The 13,785-nt window shown below is 39.4% G+C and overlaps 1 annotated feature.

Annotated features, from left to right (window-relative positions):
- Positions 8,511-8,805: a silencer, noted in NCBI's record as "tiled region #1280; HepG2 Repressive non-DNase unmatched - State 24:Quies, and K562 Repressive non-DNase unmatched - State 23:Low". NCBI's record gives its function as "represses a minimal TATA promoter and a strong SV40 promoter by Sharpr-MPRA in HepG2 and K562 cells {active_cell/tissue: HepG2 | K562}" and the evidence as "EXISTENCE:reporter gene assay evidence [ECO:0000049][PMID:27701403]".

The raw sequence follows: 13,785 nt of genomic DNA, 5'->3' as shown, positions 1-13,785 counted from the left end.
TGAGGCAGGAGAATGGCCTGAACCAGGGAGGTGGAGCTTGCAGTGAGCCGAGATCCCATCACTGCACTCCAGCCTGGGCAACAGAGCATGACTCCATCTCAAAAATAAATAAATAAATAAAATTAATTAATTAATTAATTTAAAGTAGATATATATATGTATTTTTATAGAGACAGGGTCTTACTATGTTGCCCAGGCTGGGTTGAAACTCCTGGCCTCAAGCCATCCTCCTGCCTTGGCCTCCCAAAGAGCTGAAATTATAGGTGCGAGCCACTATGCCTGGCCCTACCAAGCATTTAAAGAACAGTTACCACCACTCTTTATCAAACTTTTCCAAAAAATTGAAAATGAGGAATTACTTCAGTCAAGTTATGAGGCCAGAATTACCCTGATACCAAAGCTAGAAAAAGATACAAGAAAAGAAAATTACACATCAATAACCCTGATGAACAGTCTCAACAAAATACTAGCAAACCAAATTCAACAGCACATTAAAAAGCATCATACACCATAATCAAGTGGGATTTATCCCTGGGATGCAAAGATACAAATCAATAAATGTGATATACCACGTTAACAGAATGAAGCATAAAAATCCTATTATCATCTCAATAGAGAAGAACCACTGGAGAGCACTCAACATCTTTTCGTGATAAAAGTATCTCAGCAAATTATGGGGCTGGGCGCGGTGGCTCACGCCTATAGTCCTAGCACTTTGGGAGGCCAAGGTGGGTGGATCACTTGAGCCTGGGAGTTCGTGACCAACCTGGGCAACATGGGGAAACCCCGTCTCTATATAAAAATTTTTAAAAATTACAAAAATCAACAAATTAGGTGTAGCAGGAACATACCTCAACATAATAAAGACCATATATGACAAGCACACAACTAATATTGTACCCAATGTTAAAAATCTAGAAGCTTTTCTTTATGATCTGGTACAAGACAAGGATGTTCACTTTCAGCACTTCCATTCAATTAAAAAAAAAAAAAGACATCCAAATTGGAAATAAAGAACAAAATGGTCTTTGTTTGCTGACAACCTGATAATATATATAGAAAAAGCCCTGAAAACTCCTCCATCAAAAAACCTGTTAGAATAAACAAAATCAGTAAAGTTACAGGATACAAAATCAACATACAGAAAGTAGTTGCATTTCTGTACACTAACCAGAGCTATTCAAAAAAGAAATTAAGAAAACAATCCCCAGGCCTATAATCCCAGCACTTTGGAAGGCTGAAGTGGGAGGATTGCTTGAGTCTGGGAGTTCAAGACCAGCCTGGGCAACATAGTAAAACCCTCATCTCTACAAAAAATAAAAATAAATTTGCTGGGCATGGTGGTGCACACCTGTAGTCCCATCTACTCAGGAAGCTGAGGAGGGAAGATTGCCTGAACCTGGGAGGTTCAGGCTGCAGCGAACCATGTTTGTGCCACTACACTCTAGCCTGGGCAACAGAGAGAGACCCTGCCTGTAGTCCCAGCTAATTGGAAGGCTGAGGCAAAAAGATTACTTGAGGCTAGGAGTTCAAGGCTGCAGTGAGCTATGATCACACCACTACACTCTAGCCTGGGTGACAGAACAAGACTGTCTCAAGACAAAATCCAACCAACCAAACAAAACCATTTAGAAATAAATTTAACCAAAATGAAAGACAGTACACTGAAAACTATAAAATATGTATGAAAATGAAGAAGACATAAATAAATGAAAGACTATTCCATGATCATGGATTGGAAAAATTAATATTGTTAAAAAATCCATTCTACCTAAAATAATACAGATTCAATCCAATCTCTATAAAAATTCTAATGGCATTTTCCAAAGAAATATAAAAAACAATCCTAAAATTCATAGTCAAAGGAATTTTGAGGAAGAAGAATGAAGCAAGAGACATTACAGCACCTGATTTCAAAATAGACTACAAGGCTATAGCAATCAAAATAGTATGGTACTGGAATAAAAACAGACACCCAGACCAATGAAACAGAATAAAAAGCCCAGAAGTAAATCCATATATTTGTGGTCAATTGATCTTTGACGAAGGTGCCAAGAACACACAATGGGGTAAAGAGAGCTTCTTCAATAAATGATCATGGGAAAACTGAATATCTACATGCAGAAAAATAAAATTGAACACTTATCTCACACCACATGCAAAAATTAACTCAAAATATATTAAAGAGTTAAACATAAGACCTGAAACGGTAAAACCACTAGAAGAAAACATGAGTGGAAAGCTGACACTGGTTTGGACAATGATATGAACAAAAGCATATGAATATTGGTTTGGACAATGATATGAACAAAACCATACAGATATGACCTCAAAATCCTAGACAACAAAAATAGGTAAATTTACCTATTTTTAGGTAAATGAAATTGCATCAAACTTAGAAGCTTCTGCACAGCAAAGGAAGCAATCAACAGAAAATAGAGATAACCTATGAAATAGGAGAAAATATTTGCAAACCCTATATCTGATAATGGGCTAATATCCAAAATATATAAGGCATTCAAACAACTCCACAAGCAAGAAAACAAATGACTAGTTTAAAAAATGGGCAAAAGACCTGAATAGGGATTTCTCCAAAGAAGACATACAAATAGCCAAGGGGAATATGAAAAACTGCTCATCATCACTAATCATCAGGAGAATGCAAATCGAAACCACAATGAGATATTACCTCACACCTGTTAGAATGGCTATTATCAAATAACAAGTGTTGGCAAGGATGTGAAGAAAAGGGAATACTTGTATACAGTTAGTGGAAATGTAAACTGGTATAGCTATTATAGAAAATAGTACAGGAGTTCCTCAAAAAAATTAAAATAGAATTACCATATGAGCTAGCAATCTCACTTCTGGGTACATATCCAAAGGAAATGAAATCAGTGTGTTGAAGAGATATCTGCACTTCTATGTTTATTGCAGCATTATTTACAATAACCAAGATTTGAAATCAAGCTAAGCATCCATCTGTGAATGAATGAAGAAAATGTGGCATATATATATGTGTGTGTGTGTGTGTGTGTGTGTGTGTGTGTGTGTGTGTGTGTGTATAATACAATGAAATATGAGTCAGCCTTAAAAAGGAAGGAAATCCTGTCATTTAGGACAACATGGGTGAATGTGGAGGACATTTCGTTAAGTGAAATAAACCAGGCACAGAAAGAAAAATAAATACTGCGTAATCTCACTTATATATGGAATCTAAAAATATCAAACTTACAAAAGCAGAGCAGAATGGTGGTTGCCAGGCACTGAGGGATGGGGAAATGGGGAGATGCTGGTGAAAGAGTACAGAGTTTCAGCTCTAAGATGAGTAAGTTCTGGAGTTCTAATGTACAGCATGATGACTATGGCAAATAATATTGCATTGTATGCTTTTTTTTTTAGACAGGGTCCTGCTCTGTCGCTCAGGCTATAGCGCAGTGGTGCCATCACAGCTCGCTGCAGCTATGACCACCCCGGCTCAGGCGATCCTCCTACCTCAGCCTCCTGAGTAGCTAGGACTACAGACATGCCACGTGGCTAATTTTTGTAGAGAGAGGATTTCATCATGTTGCCCAGCTGGTTTGGAACTCCTGGGCTCAAGGGACCCACCTGCCTTGGCCTCCCAAAGTGCTAGAATTACAGGCGTGAGCCACCACGCCCTCAAGAGTAGATCTTAAGTGTTCTCACCACACACACACACACACACACACACACACACACACACAATGTGAGGTAATTAGCTTGATTGTGGTACTCATTTACAATATATACATATATCAAAATATTACACTGTATGCTTAAATATATACAATTTTTATTTGTCAATTATACCTCAATAAACCTGGAAAAAAATTGAAAGAATACGTTCAACAAAAATCCATATCACTTCACCTAAATCCAGTACTGCCCCACACTTTACAGATCTCCTTTGCTTGTCCTCAGCCTTGCCCATCCCCAAGGGCTGGGGAATATTCTGGCTGACGGGCATGTCCATCTGGGGCCTATCTCCCACCTCTCCTTATTATTTTTATTTCATGATTCAGATATCCTAGAGTACAGAATCCCTGCTACTTTCATCTTTTTGGAGTCTGCTTACTTGAGGTTAGACCATATTCACTATGCACACTCCTAGACCAAAAGGTGGCCAAGGACCAACTGTGGGAGTGGGAGTGGGAGTGGATAACTGTAGCATGGATGGTGTTTGAACATATGAACTGGGGTGTCCACACATATGTGCAGGATGGACCGAGGGCTAGGAGGAGAAGGGAAACCCAGCTCCTGGCCAGATGACTGGAGGCTGGCTCTCCTTGCATTGCTGTGTGCTAGCATAAATCTTATAGGAGTTTGCAAATTTTAAATGTGATCTTGGCTTCTAAGTTATTATGAAGATATGCGGTCAAAGTAACAGTTAGTACATCTTTTTTTATTTTGTTAACTTGCCTTATAAAACTTTAAGTATTTAGGCACGTGGCTGAATAGTCTTCATTTGCATTTGTGTCCCAACCATGGCAAGAGTTAGGACAGGATGGCTTGGATACGCTAATTGCATACAATAATTGTCAGCATTTGCCACATTTGCTTTCTCTCTCTGTCTGTCTGTCTATCTGTCTATCTACGTCCTATCTGCCTGTGCAGCAATGTGCCTCTTTTTAAAGCTGAGCCTAGCCAGGTGCAGTGGCTCATGCCTATAATCTCAACACTGTGGGGACCCAAGGTGGGAGGATCACTTGAGCCTAGGAGTTGGAGACCAACCTAGGCAACATAGTGAGACCTTGTCTCCACAAAAAATTGAAAAATTAGCTGGGTGTGGTGGCACACATCTGTGGTCCCAGCTACTCAGGAGGCTGAGGCAGGAGGATCACTTGAGTTTGGGAGGTCTAGGCTGCAGTGAGCCATGGTTGGGCCACTGCACTCCAGCCTGAGTGACAGAGCGAGACCCTGTCTCTAAGTAAATAAATAAATAAAACTGAGCCACTTGAAAGTGTATTGCAGACATCATGAGACTCCATCTCCAAGTACTTCACCATTGTTTTCTAAGAGAAAGGACATTCTTTTTTATAATCACTATTCTATTATCACACCAAAGAAGTTTTACGTTAACATAATAAAATTATCTAATATCTACCCAATGTTCAAATCTTCTCCATTGTCTTTAAAATGCCCTGTTGAGGTTTTTTTTTTTGTGTTCTGTTTTTTAAATCTAGGATCCAATCAAGAATAACTACCACATTTGTTTTTTGTGTTGTATATAATAGTAATGACATTAGGAAATCACCAAAAAAGCATTTATCTTAAGTAGAGGTCAGGTCAGATAGCTTAGTGTAATTGGTGAAGATGTTAATACACTAAATATATTATATTGAAATAGAATGCAATGTCTTCAACATTTTAAGAGATGAGGGAAAATAAATGCCAACCACCTTCAAGCTTCATTTTATACTTTTTTCCCTCCATATTGTTATTCCTAAATGATATGTATCTGCTTTTCTTTCCATAGTCTTCTATTATGACTTTACCTTTGGCCTAAAATTTAGATGAAGAAAGGGAATTTCAAATGAGGGAATTTTTGTAAGGAAAACTTTAAGCAGGTTGTGTTCTCATGTTTTTAATTTGCAAAAATTTAAACTTTTGCACATTTGCAAATCCTTTGCAATGTTAAACACTGATTTTTCTCACCTCTCTCTTGGCCAGATATTTCTTTCTCAGTGTCTTTGTGTGCACAGTAAAACATTGATGTTTGTGAAAACTCAATCATTTCCTGTTAGCTCAATTTTTTGTGTGTGCCAACATACTATAATGTTATAATCATAGGGCTATATCTGTCTTGTAAAAGTTTATTCAAGAATAAAAAGATATGCAGATAAGTAAATGGTTTTTAAAATCTCATTATAGACTATGTCTTCTATATATTTTTTATCTTCCCAGGTGCCCATTATAGTGTTCTACACATATTTAAGATTATTGACTAACAAAAAAGCAAAATGAACAAAAACTAAAATAAAATAAAAATAAAAAGAATGTTCTTCACAGGAAACACATGAAACAGATGAACTTTGGGTGTTAGTAATCAATATTCCTAGATATTCATTTGGGGAGGTCATATGTATATACACACACACACACACACACACACATATACACACATCTATATATACACATACATATATATACACACATATATATATACGCATATACACACACACACACACACACACACACATATATATATATATAAAATAAGGAGTTTTGCTCTGCTGCTCAGGCTGGAGTACAGGGGCATGATCTCAGCTCACTGCAACCTCTGCCTCCTGGGTTCAAGTGATTCTCTTGCCTCAGCCTCCCAAGTAGCTGGGACTACAGGCATTAGCCACCATGCCCAACTACTTTTTTTTTGTATTTTTAGTAGAGACAGGGTTTCACCATGTTGGTCAGGCTGGTCTCGAACTTCTGACCTCAAATGATACACCTGCCTTGGCCTCTCAAAGTGCTGGGATTACAGGAGTGAGCCACCGTGCCCAACCTATATTTTTATTTATTCATTTATTTTGAGATGGAATCTCGCTCTGTCGCCCAGGCTGGAGTGCAATGGCACGATCCCTGCTCACTGCAACCTCTGCCTTCTGGGTTCAAGCGATTCTCCTGCCTCAGCCTCCTGAGTAGCTGAGATTACAGGTGTCTGCCACCACACCCAGCTAATTTTTGTATTTTTAGTAGAGATGGGGTTTCGCCATGTTGGTCAGGCTGGTCTCGAACTCCTGATCTCAAGTGATCCACCTGCCTCGGCCTCCCAAAGTGCTGAGATTACAGGTGTGAGCCACTGGGCCCAGCCTCCAATATATTTTTATTTGAATCCAAGAGTCCATTGGAAACGTTGACACCTTTGAGTATTTATAAGACTGCAAGAAAATAAGAAAATAAGTTAAAAGGTCTTTTCAAACAAAATCTTATATCCTTAAAGATTATCAACTTCAAATTATTTGTTTTATTTTAAAGCTATAAATAGTTAAATATCAGAAGATAATATGGCCTAAAATAAAACATTTCTATATATAAACAGGCTAATCTATTAGCACTTGAAACCATTTTTAGGAAATACAGGAAACAATGAAAGATATGGCATGTCAAAGCACTTGAACATTGCTTTTTACATAATGTTTTTCTCTCTGGTTTATTTTCTTCTTCTCCAGTCACCTTTCCCTTAGAGTGTCCACACTATCCAAGAAAGGCTTCAGTCAGGGTCAATAACCACATTTGCTTCACTTGTGCCTCAGAGTCTTCCATCAGGATGGGTGTGAACCTCCTCCCTCTCTCTCATCGACTGTTCCTTATTGGTTCATATCTTCCACACCTGTCAGACCCTTCTTCATTTCTGTCTGCTCCTCCTCCGTCATAGCAGGTCCTGAAATCCCATTTTCTCCGCAAGTTTTCCTTGCATTAACCTCATCTCCCTCAGATCACTCCATTAGATAATGTCAACTTTTATATATATTTGGTATGATTTTAAATTTTACTCAATAGTTTGCAGTTGTTCTCAAACCATGCTCCTTGACGGCCACCCACTTCTGCACACAATCCATTTGGATTCTAAGTTCTGGCAGAAAACTAATGGCTACTTTTGTTCTAGAACTGCAATGCCCAGTACAGTAGCCATTAACTGTTTAATTTCAAATATTTAAATTTTAAATAATTAGCACTAAATAAAGTAAGTTGGCCAGGCATGGTAGCTAATGCCCATAATCCTAGCACTTAGGGAGGCCTAGGTGGGAGAATCACCTGAGGCCAGGAGTTCAAGAGCAGCCTGGTCAACAGGCGAAAACCCATCTCTTCTAAAAATACAAAAATTAGCCAGGCATGGTGGCAGGCACCTGTGATCCCAGGTACTAAGAAGACTGAGGCAGGAGAATCGCTTGAACTCGGAGGCGGAGGTTTCAGTGGGCCAAGATTGTGCCACTGTACTCCAGCCTGGGCAACAGAGTGAGACTTCACCTCAAAATAAATAAACAAGATAAATTAGCATTAAATAAAATTAAGAATTCAGTTTCGGCCGGGCGCGGTGGCTCACGCCTGTAATTCCAGCACTTTGGGAGGCCGAGGCAGGCGGATCGCGAGGTCAGGAGATCGAGACCATCCTGGCTAACTCGGTGAAACCCCGTCTCTACTAAACAAAATACAACAAATTAGCTGGGCGTGGTGGCGGGCTCCTGTAGTCCCAGCTACTCAGGAGGCTGAGGCAGGAGAATGGCGTGAACCCGGGAGGCGGAGCTTGCAGTGAGCCGAGATCGCGCCACTGCACTCCAGCCTGCCCGACAGGGCGAGACTCCGTCTCAAAAAAAAAAAAAAAGAATTCAGTTTCTCATTTGCATTAACCAGATTTCAAGTGCTCAATAGCCACATGTGGCTAGTTGCTATCATGTTAGACAGTATAGATACAAAATATTTCTATCATTACAGAGGGTTCTTGTTGGGGCTCAGAAAATCATACCCCAAAGCATGGCACTTTGACATGCTGAGTACTTTAAACTAAAAAGTAGCCTCAGAACCAAGGTCTCTCTGAACTCCTCCTGCCCTCCAGTCCATCCCACAGGGACAAGCTTTCTCTGAAGTTTCTTTATCGAGGAAGGAAAGCTCCCTCAGAAGGAATGCAATTGTCTTGAGCCCCCCTCCCTATAGCCTCATTGAACAGGGATGATTAACTCACAGGAAAGAAGACTAGTTACAACACCAGACCTAGAGCCCAGAGGAATTTTTTCCTAGGCTATTGTCTGTTCTTTGGGCCCATTCATCTCCCCTAAAAATCACTTACTTTTTAACTAAAATGCCTACAGCCCCCACTTCCCTCTCCCCTATTAAGAAGGTTATTTAAGCTTCTGAATCTCATTGGATTATTGGACAGTCAGATTCCTGTAATGTCACTGTGCATGTAATAAACTTGTATACCTTTTCTCCTGTCAATCTACTGTCAGTTTATTTCAACAGACTCAGTTATTACAGAGGGAAGAGAGAAGGTTATCTCACTACTACATTCTACTGGACAGCACTGTTCTAATATTCCTCATAATACCTATTATAGCTCTCTGTTTATAAAACACAGCATAGAAGTAAGCAATGTAGAACACATAGTGTTACTAATAATATGACTGTTGCTAAGATCAAGAGAAGTCACATCTATGAAATACCATGTTTTTATGAATTAAAGGAAATGGAAGGAGATAGACATTGAAAGACCTTTATTTTTCAAAAAAAACAAAATGTGTTATTTAGAGTCAAATGTCAAAACTCTTTCTGAAATAACTGAATTAAATAGCAAAGGTGATATTTAATCAAAGACAAACAGTCAGCTGTGACTCTATTTATTATAAAACTGACTATGGGGTGCTTCATATTTATTAGAGAGTGAATTAGATTGACCACTAAGTAGCCACACATCATTGATATTTGACCTATCTTGTCAAGAGACACTTTAATTTTCATTGATGTGTAAGTCTGAGGTTTGGCTCTCCACTGTGTGCTTCCAGATAATAACTTTTTCTCTTTTGGCTTCACTGACATAGAAATGGAAATAAGTTTACCGGAATCTCTGAGATTCAGTTTGTATATGCTACAAGGCAGTGAGGGAATAAAACCAATGATAATACTTTGATTTTTTTATGTGCCCCAGAAAGACATTTGCACAGCTTCAAATGCTCTGAATACTGGAATTTTAACATCCTGAAATAAGATTACGATGGTCTGCAGTTGTGTCAATATTCAAACTGGTAAAGAATGGTGTCATTTTTAGACTTGAAGGTCATCACCTAAATCCAACAACAAATGACAATGGAATGTGAAACCATGTCAGTCATGAGGATTTAGTTAATCTATGTCTGCCCTTTGTGGTTAGTTTTGAGCACCTGAGTGTCTAAAACTTAGTTCCTTTGTCCACATTACCATGTGTGTATTTAAAATTAAAAATAAGCATAATGAAGGAAAGTACATTCTATGATCAACATACATACCTGGAGAGTTCAGTAGCAATAAATGCAAGACCCTAACTCACTGAGGGCCTTTTTAAAGTATATAAAGAGACAAGTATTTACATAAGTCTTCATTGCTAGACCATAGCACATTCTCAATGTATTATTATAATATTATTGTAACTTTAAGAGGAGTAATGTTTGGTGCTCATTGAGTAACAAGAGAAGAACCAGGCCAGGCGCAGTGGCTCACGCCTATAATCCCAGCACTTTGGGAGGCCGAGGTGAGCAGATCACCTGAGGTCAGGAGTTCAAAACCAGCCTCGCCAACATGGTGAAACCCCATCTCTACAAAAATACAAAAATTAGCTGGGCATAATGGCGGGTGCCTGTAATCCCAGCTACTCAGGAGGCTGAGGTAGGAAAATTGCTTGAATCCGGGAGGTGGAGGTTGCAGTGAGCCGAGATCACACCATCGCACTCCAGCCTGGGTAACAGAGTGAGACTCTGCCTCAAAAAAAAAAAAAAAAAAAAAAAGAGGAACCAGCAACAATGGTAGAGATTATGATAGCAAACATCTATTTAGTGCTTTGTCTGTGCAGGCTCTGCGATGAGCACTTTACATACATTAATTCTCCTAACAACCCTGTGATGTAGTTACTATTCCTATCATTCCCATTTTACTGCTGAAGAAACTGAGGCAGGGTTATTGTTATGGGCTAAATTGTATCCCTTCAAAATTGTTATGTTAAAATCCTAATCCCTAGTACCTCAGAATGTGGCTGTATTTGGAGATAGAGTCTTTAAAGAGATAATTAATTTAAAATGAGATAATTAGGGTAGTCCCTAATCCAATATGACTGGTGTCCTTATAAGAAGAGGATATTTGAGTTTTTTCTGTTATTTTATTTTTATTCGTTATTATTATTCTTGGAGACGGAGTTTCGCTCTTGTTGCTCAGGCTGGAGTGCAGTGGTGCTGTCTCGGCTCACTGCAACCTTTGCCTCCCGGGTTCAAACGATTCTCCTGTCTCAGCCTCCTAAGTAGCTGGGATTACAGGCACCCGTCACCATGTCTGGTTAATTTTTGTATTTTTAGTAGAGATGGGATTTCACCATTTTGGCCAGCCTGGTCTCGAACTCCTGATCTCAGGTGATCTGCCCACCTTGGCCTCCCAAAGTGCTGGGATTACAGGTATGAGTCACCACGCCCAGCCTGAAGAGGACATTTGGACCAGACATGTACAGAGGAAAAACCATGTGAAGACACTGGGAAAAGATGGCTATCTATTAGCCAAGGAGAAGAGAGGCATCAGGAGGAACCAACCATGCCAACACCTTGACCTTGGACTTCTAGCTTCCAGAGCTGTGAGAAAATACATTTCTCTTATTGAAGCCACTTAGTGTGTGGTGCTCTCTTAAGACAGCTCTTAGCAAACTAATACAGTCATTTATTTAACCAATATTTACTAAGTGTCTACTACTGGCCTAAGAACTAGGAATAATCAAAACTTCTTTGCCTTCATGGAATTTACCATGTAGTGGTGACAGATGTAGGGGAGGAAAAAAATAATTTTTATTTCTACCCTTTATATTCTTAGTTGGGGCAAACTCTTGGTTAACAAGAGAAAAAAATAAGTAAGTTTATTAACTGGTGGGGTTGTGGGGGGTTTTTTTGTTTTGTTTTGTTTTGTTTTGTTTTGTTTTGAGATAGGGTCTCACTCTGTTGCCCAGGCTGGAGTACACTGGTGTGATCATAGTTCACTGCAGCCTCGAATGCACAGGCTCAAGTGGTCTTCCCAGCTCAGACCCCTGAGTAACTGGAACTAGAGGTACATGCCACAATGACTGTCTAATTTTTTATTTTTTATTTTTAGTAATATGTTGCCCATATAGTAATATGTTGCTCAGCATGTTGCCCAGGCTGGTCTCAAATTCCTGGGCTCAAGCAACCTCCCACTTTGGCCTCCCAAAGTGTTGAGATTACAAGTGTGAGCCACTGCACCTGGCCAACTTGTATATCTTATATATGCACGGGAAATACCTAGTAAAATGAGCAAGTCTCACAGAGGTACCTTTGAATTCAGAATTAAATGTCATTGTCTGCTGGAACAAAGAAACAAAGGAGTTGGGGGAGCCATTATGGAGGGGTAACCAGGAAAAGCACAGTAAACAAGGGTCAGGTTTGTTGGTGCCTTTTCCATTGATAAGAATCTCTAGTGGTTTAGAGTCACTCTTCTCTTCATGGTACAGAGAGAGACACCCTCAGAAATGGAGGTTTCCTTTATATATGTAAATTTTCTTTATAAAAGGGTAACTTCTACTCTGTTTTTATAGCTCCTCTTGTGTCTGCTGTTTCTCAAAATAATCAGCTTGAAATAATCTGTATGCCAGAGAGGCATATTTTGGGGTGGTATATTCTGATCTCCTAAGCGGAGACAAAAAATATATAAATACATCAATTACATGAAAAGTTAGAAAGTGATAAGTAATAGAGAAAAGTAAAGCAATAAAGAAGGAGAGGGTTCTGTGAATGTGCTTGTGTGGGGGTGCAATTTCAAACATAGGATGATGGACAGAGGAAGCCTCACTGAGAAGGTGATTTCTCAGCAAAGATCGTGGGAGAGGAGAGAGAGACCCACACAAATGCCTGGCCAGAGAATATTTCAACAAGAGCAAACAGCCAAGTGCAGAAACTCTGAGGAGGTACCTGGAGTTTTGCAGACAGTGTGGAGGCCCCTGTGGGTGGAAGGAAGTAAGCATGGAGTTGGGGAGCCTGAGAAGAGGTCAGAGGCGTAGGAGGAAGAGCCGGATCCTGTGGTCCTGGCAGACGTCAGCTTTCACGGAACTGAGAAGTCTTGGGAGGGGTTATTGTTGTTTTAGCAGTTTTAGGTTCACAGCAAAATTGAGAGGAGGGTACAGAGATTTTCCACAGGCTATCTGCCCTTGCACCTACATAGCCTCCCTATATCACAACCCCCTACCAGACTGGCACATTTGTTATAATTGATGAACCTACGTTGACACATCATTAGCACCCAAAGTTCATAGTTTATATTGGGTCTTATTCTTGGCGTTGTACAGTCTATGGGTCTGGAAAAATGACCTGTAATCCATCATGTTATGTCAAACACAGTATTTTAACTGCCCTAAAAATCTTCTGTGTTCTGCCTCTTCAATCATCCCTCTCCACAAATCCCTGGCAACTGCTGATCTTTTATTGGCTCCATAGTTTGCCTTTTTCAAAATGCCATATAATTGGAATTATACAGTTTGTAGCCTTTTCAGATGGGCTTCTTTTATTTATTAATGTGCACTTAAGTTTCCTCCATATCTTTTCATGGCTTGATAGCTCATTTCTTTTTAGGACTGAATGATATTCATTGTCTGGATGTATCACAGTTTATTTATCCATTCACTGATTGAAGGACATCTTGTTTGCTTCTATGTTTTGGCAATTATGAATAGAGCTGCTGTAAAAATCTGTGTGTAGGTTTTTGTGTGAACATACGTTTTCAACTTTGGGTAAATATCAAGAAGCGTGATTGCCGGATTTCATGGTAAAGAGTGTGTTTAGTTTTCTAAGAGACTGCCAAACTGTCTTCCAAAATGGCTGCATCATTTTGCATTCCCACAAGCAATGAATGATTGTGGGGATTATTTGATAAGTTAGAAAGTGATGAGTGATGTAAAGAAAAATATATCCTGTTGCTGCACATCCTTGCCAGCATTTGGTGTTGTCCATGTTCTGAATTTTGGCCAACCTAATAATATGTAGTGGTATCTGATTTGTCACTTTAATTTGCATTTCCTTATAATACATATGATCTAGA

The sequence above is a fragment of the Homo sapiens genome, chromosome 12 (assembly GCF_000001405.40).
Source record: "Homo sapiens chromosome 12, GRCh38.p14 Primary Assembly".
NCBI lineage: Eukaryota > Metazoa > Chordata > Mammalia > Primates > Hominidae > Homo > Homo sapiens.
Note: the sequence above shows the minus strand (reverse complement) of the source record. Positions and strands in the feature narration are given on the sequence as shown.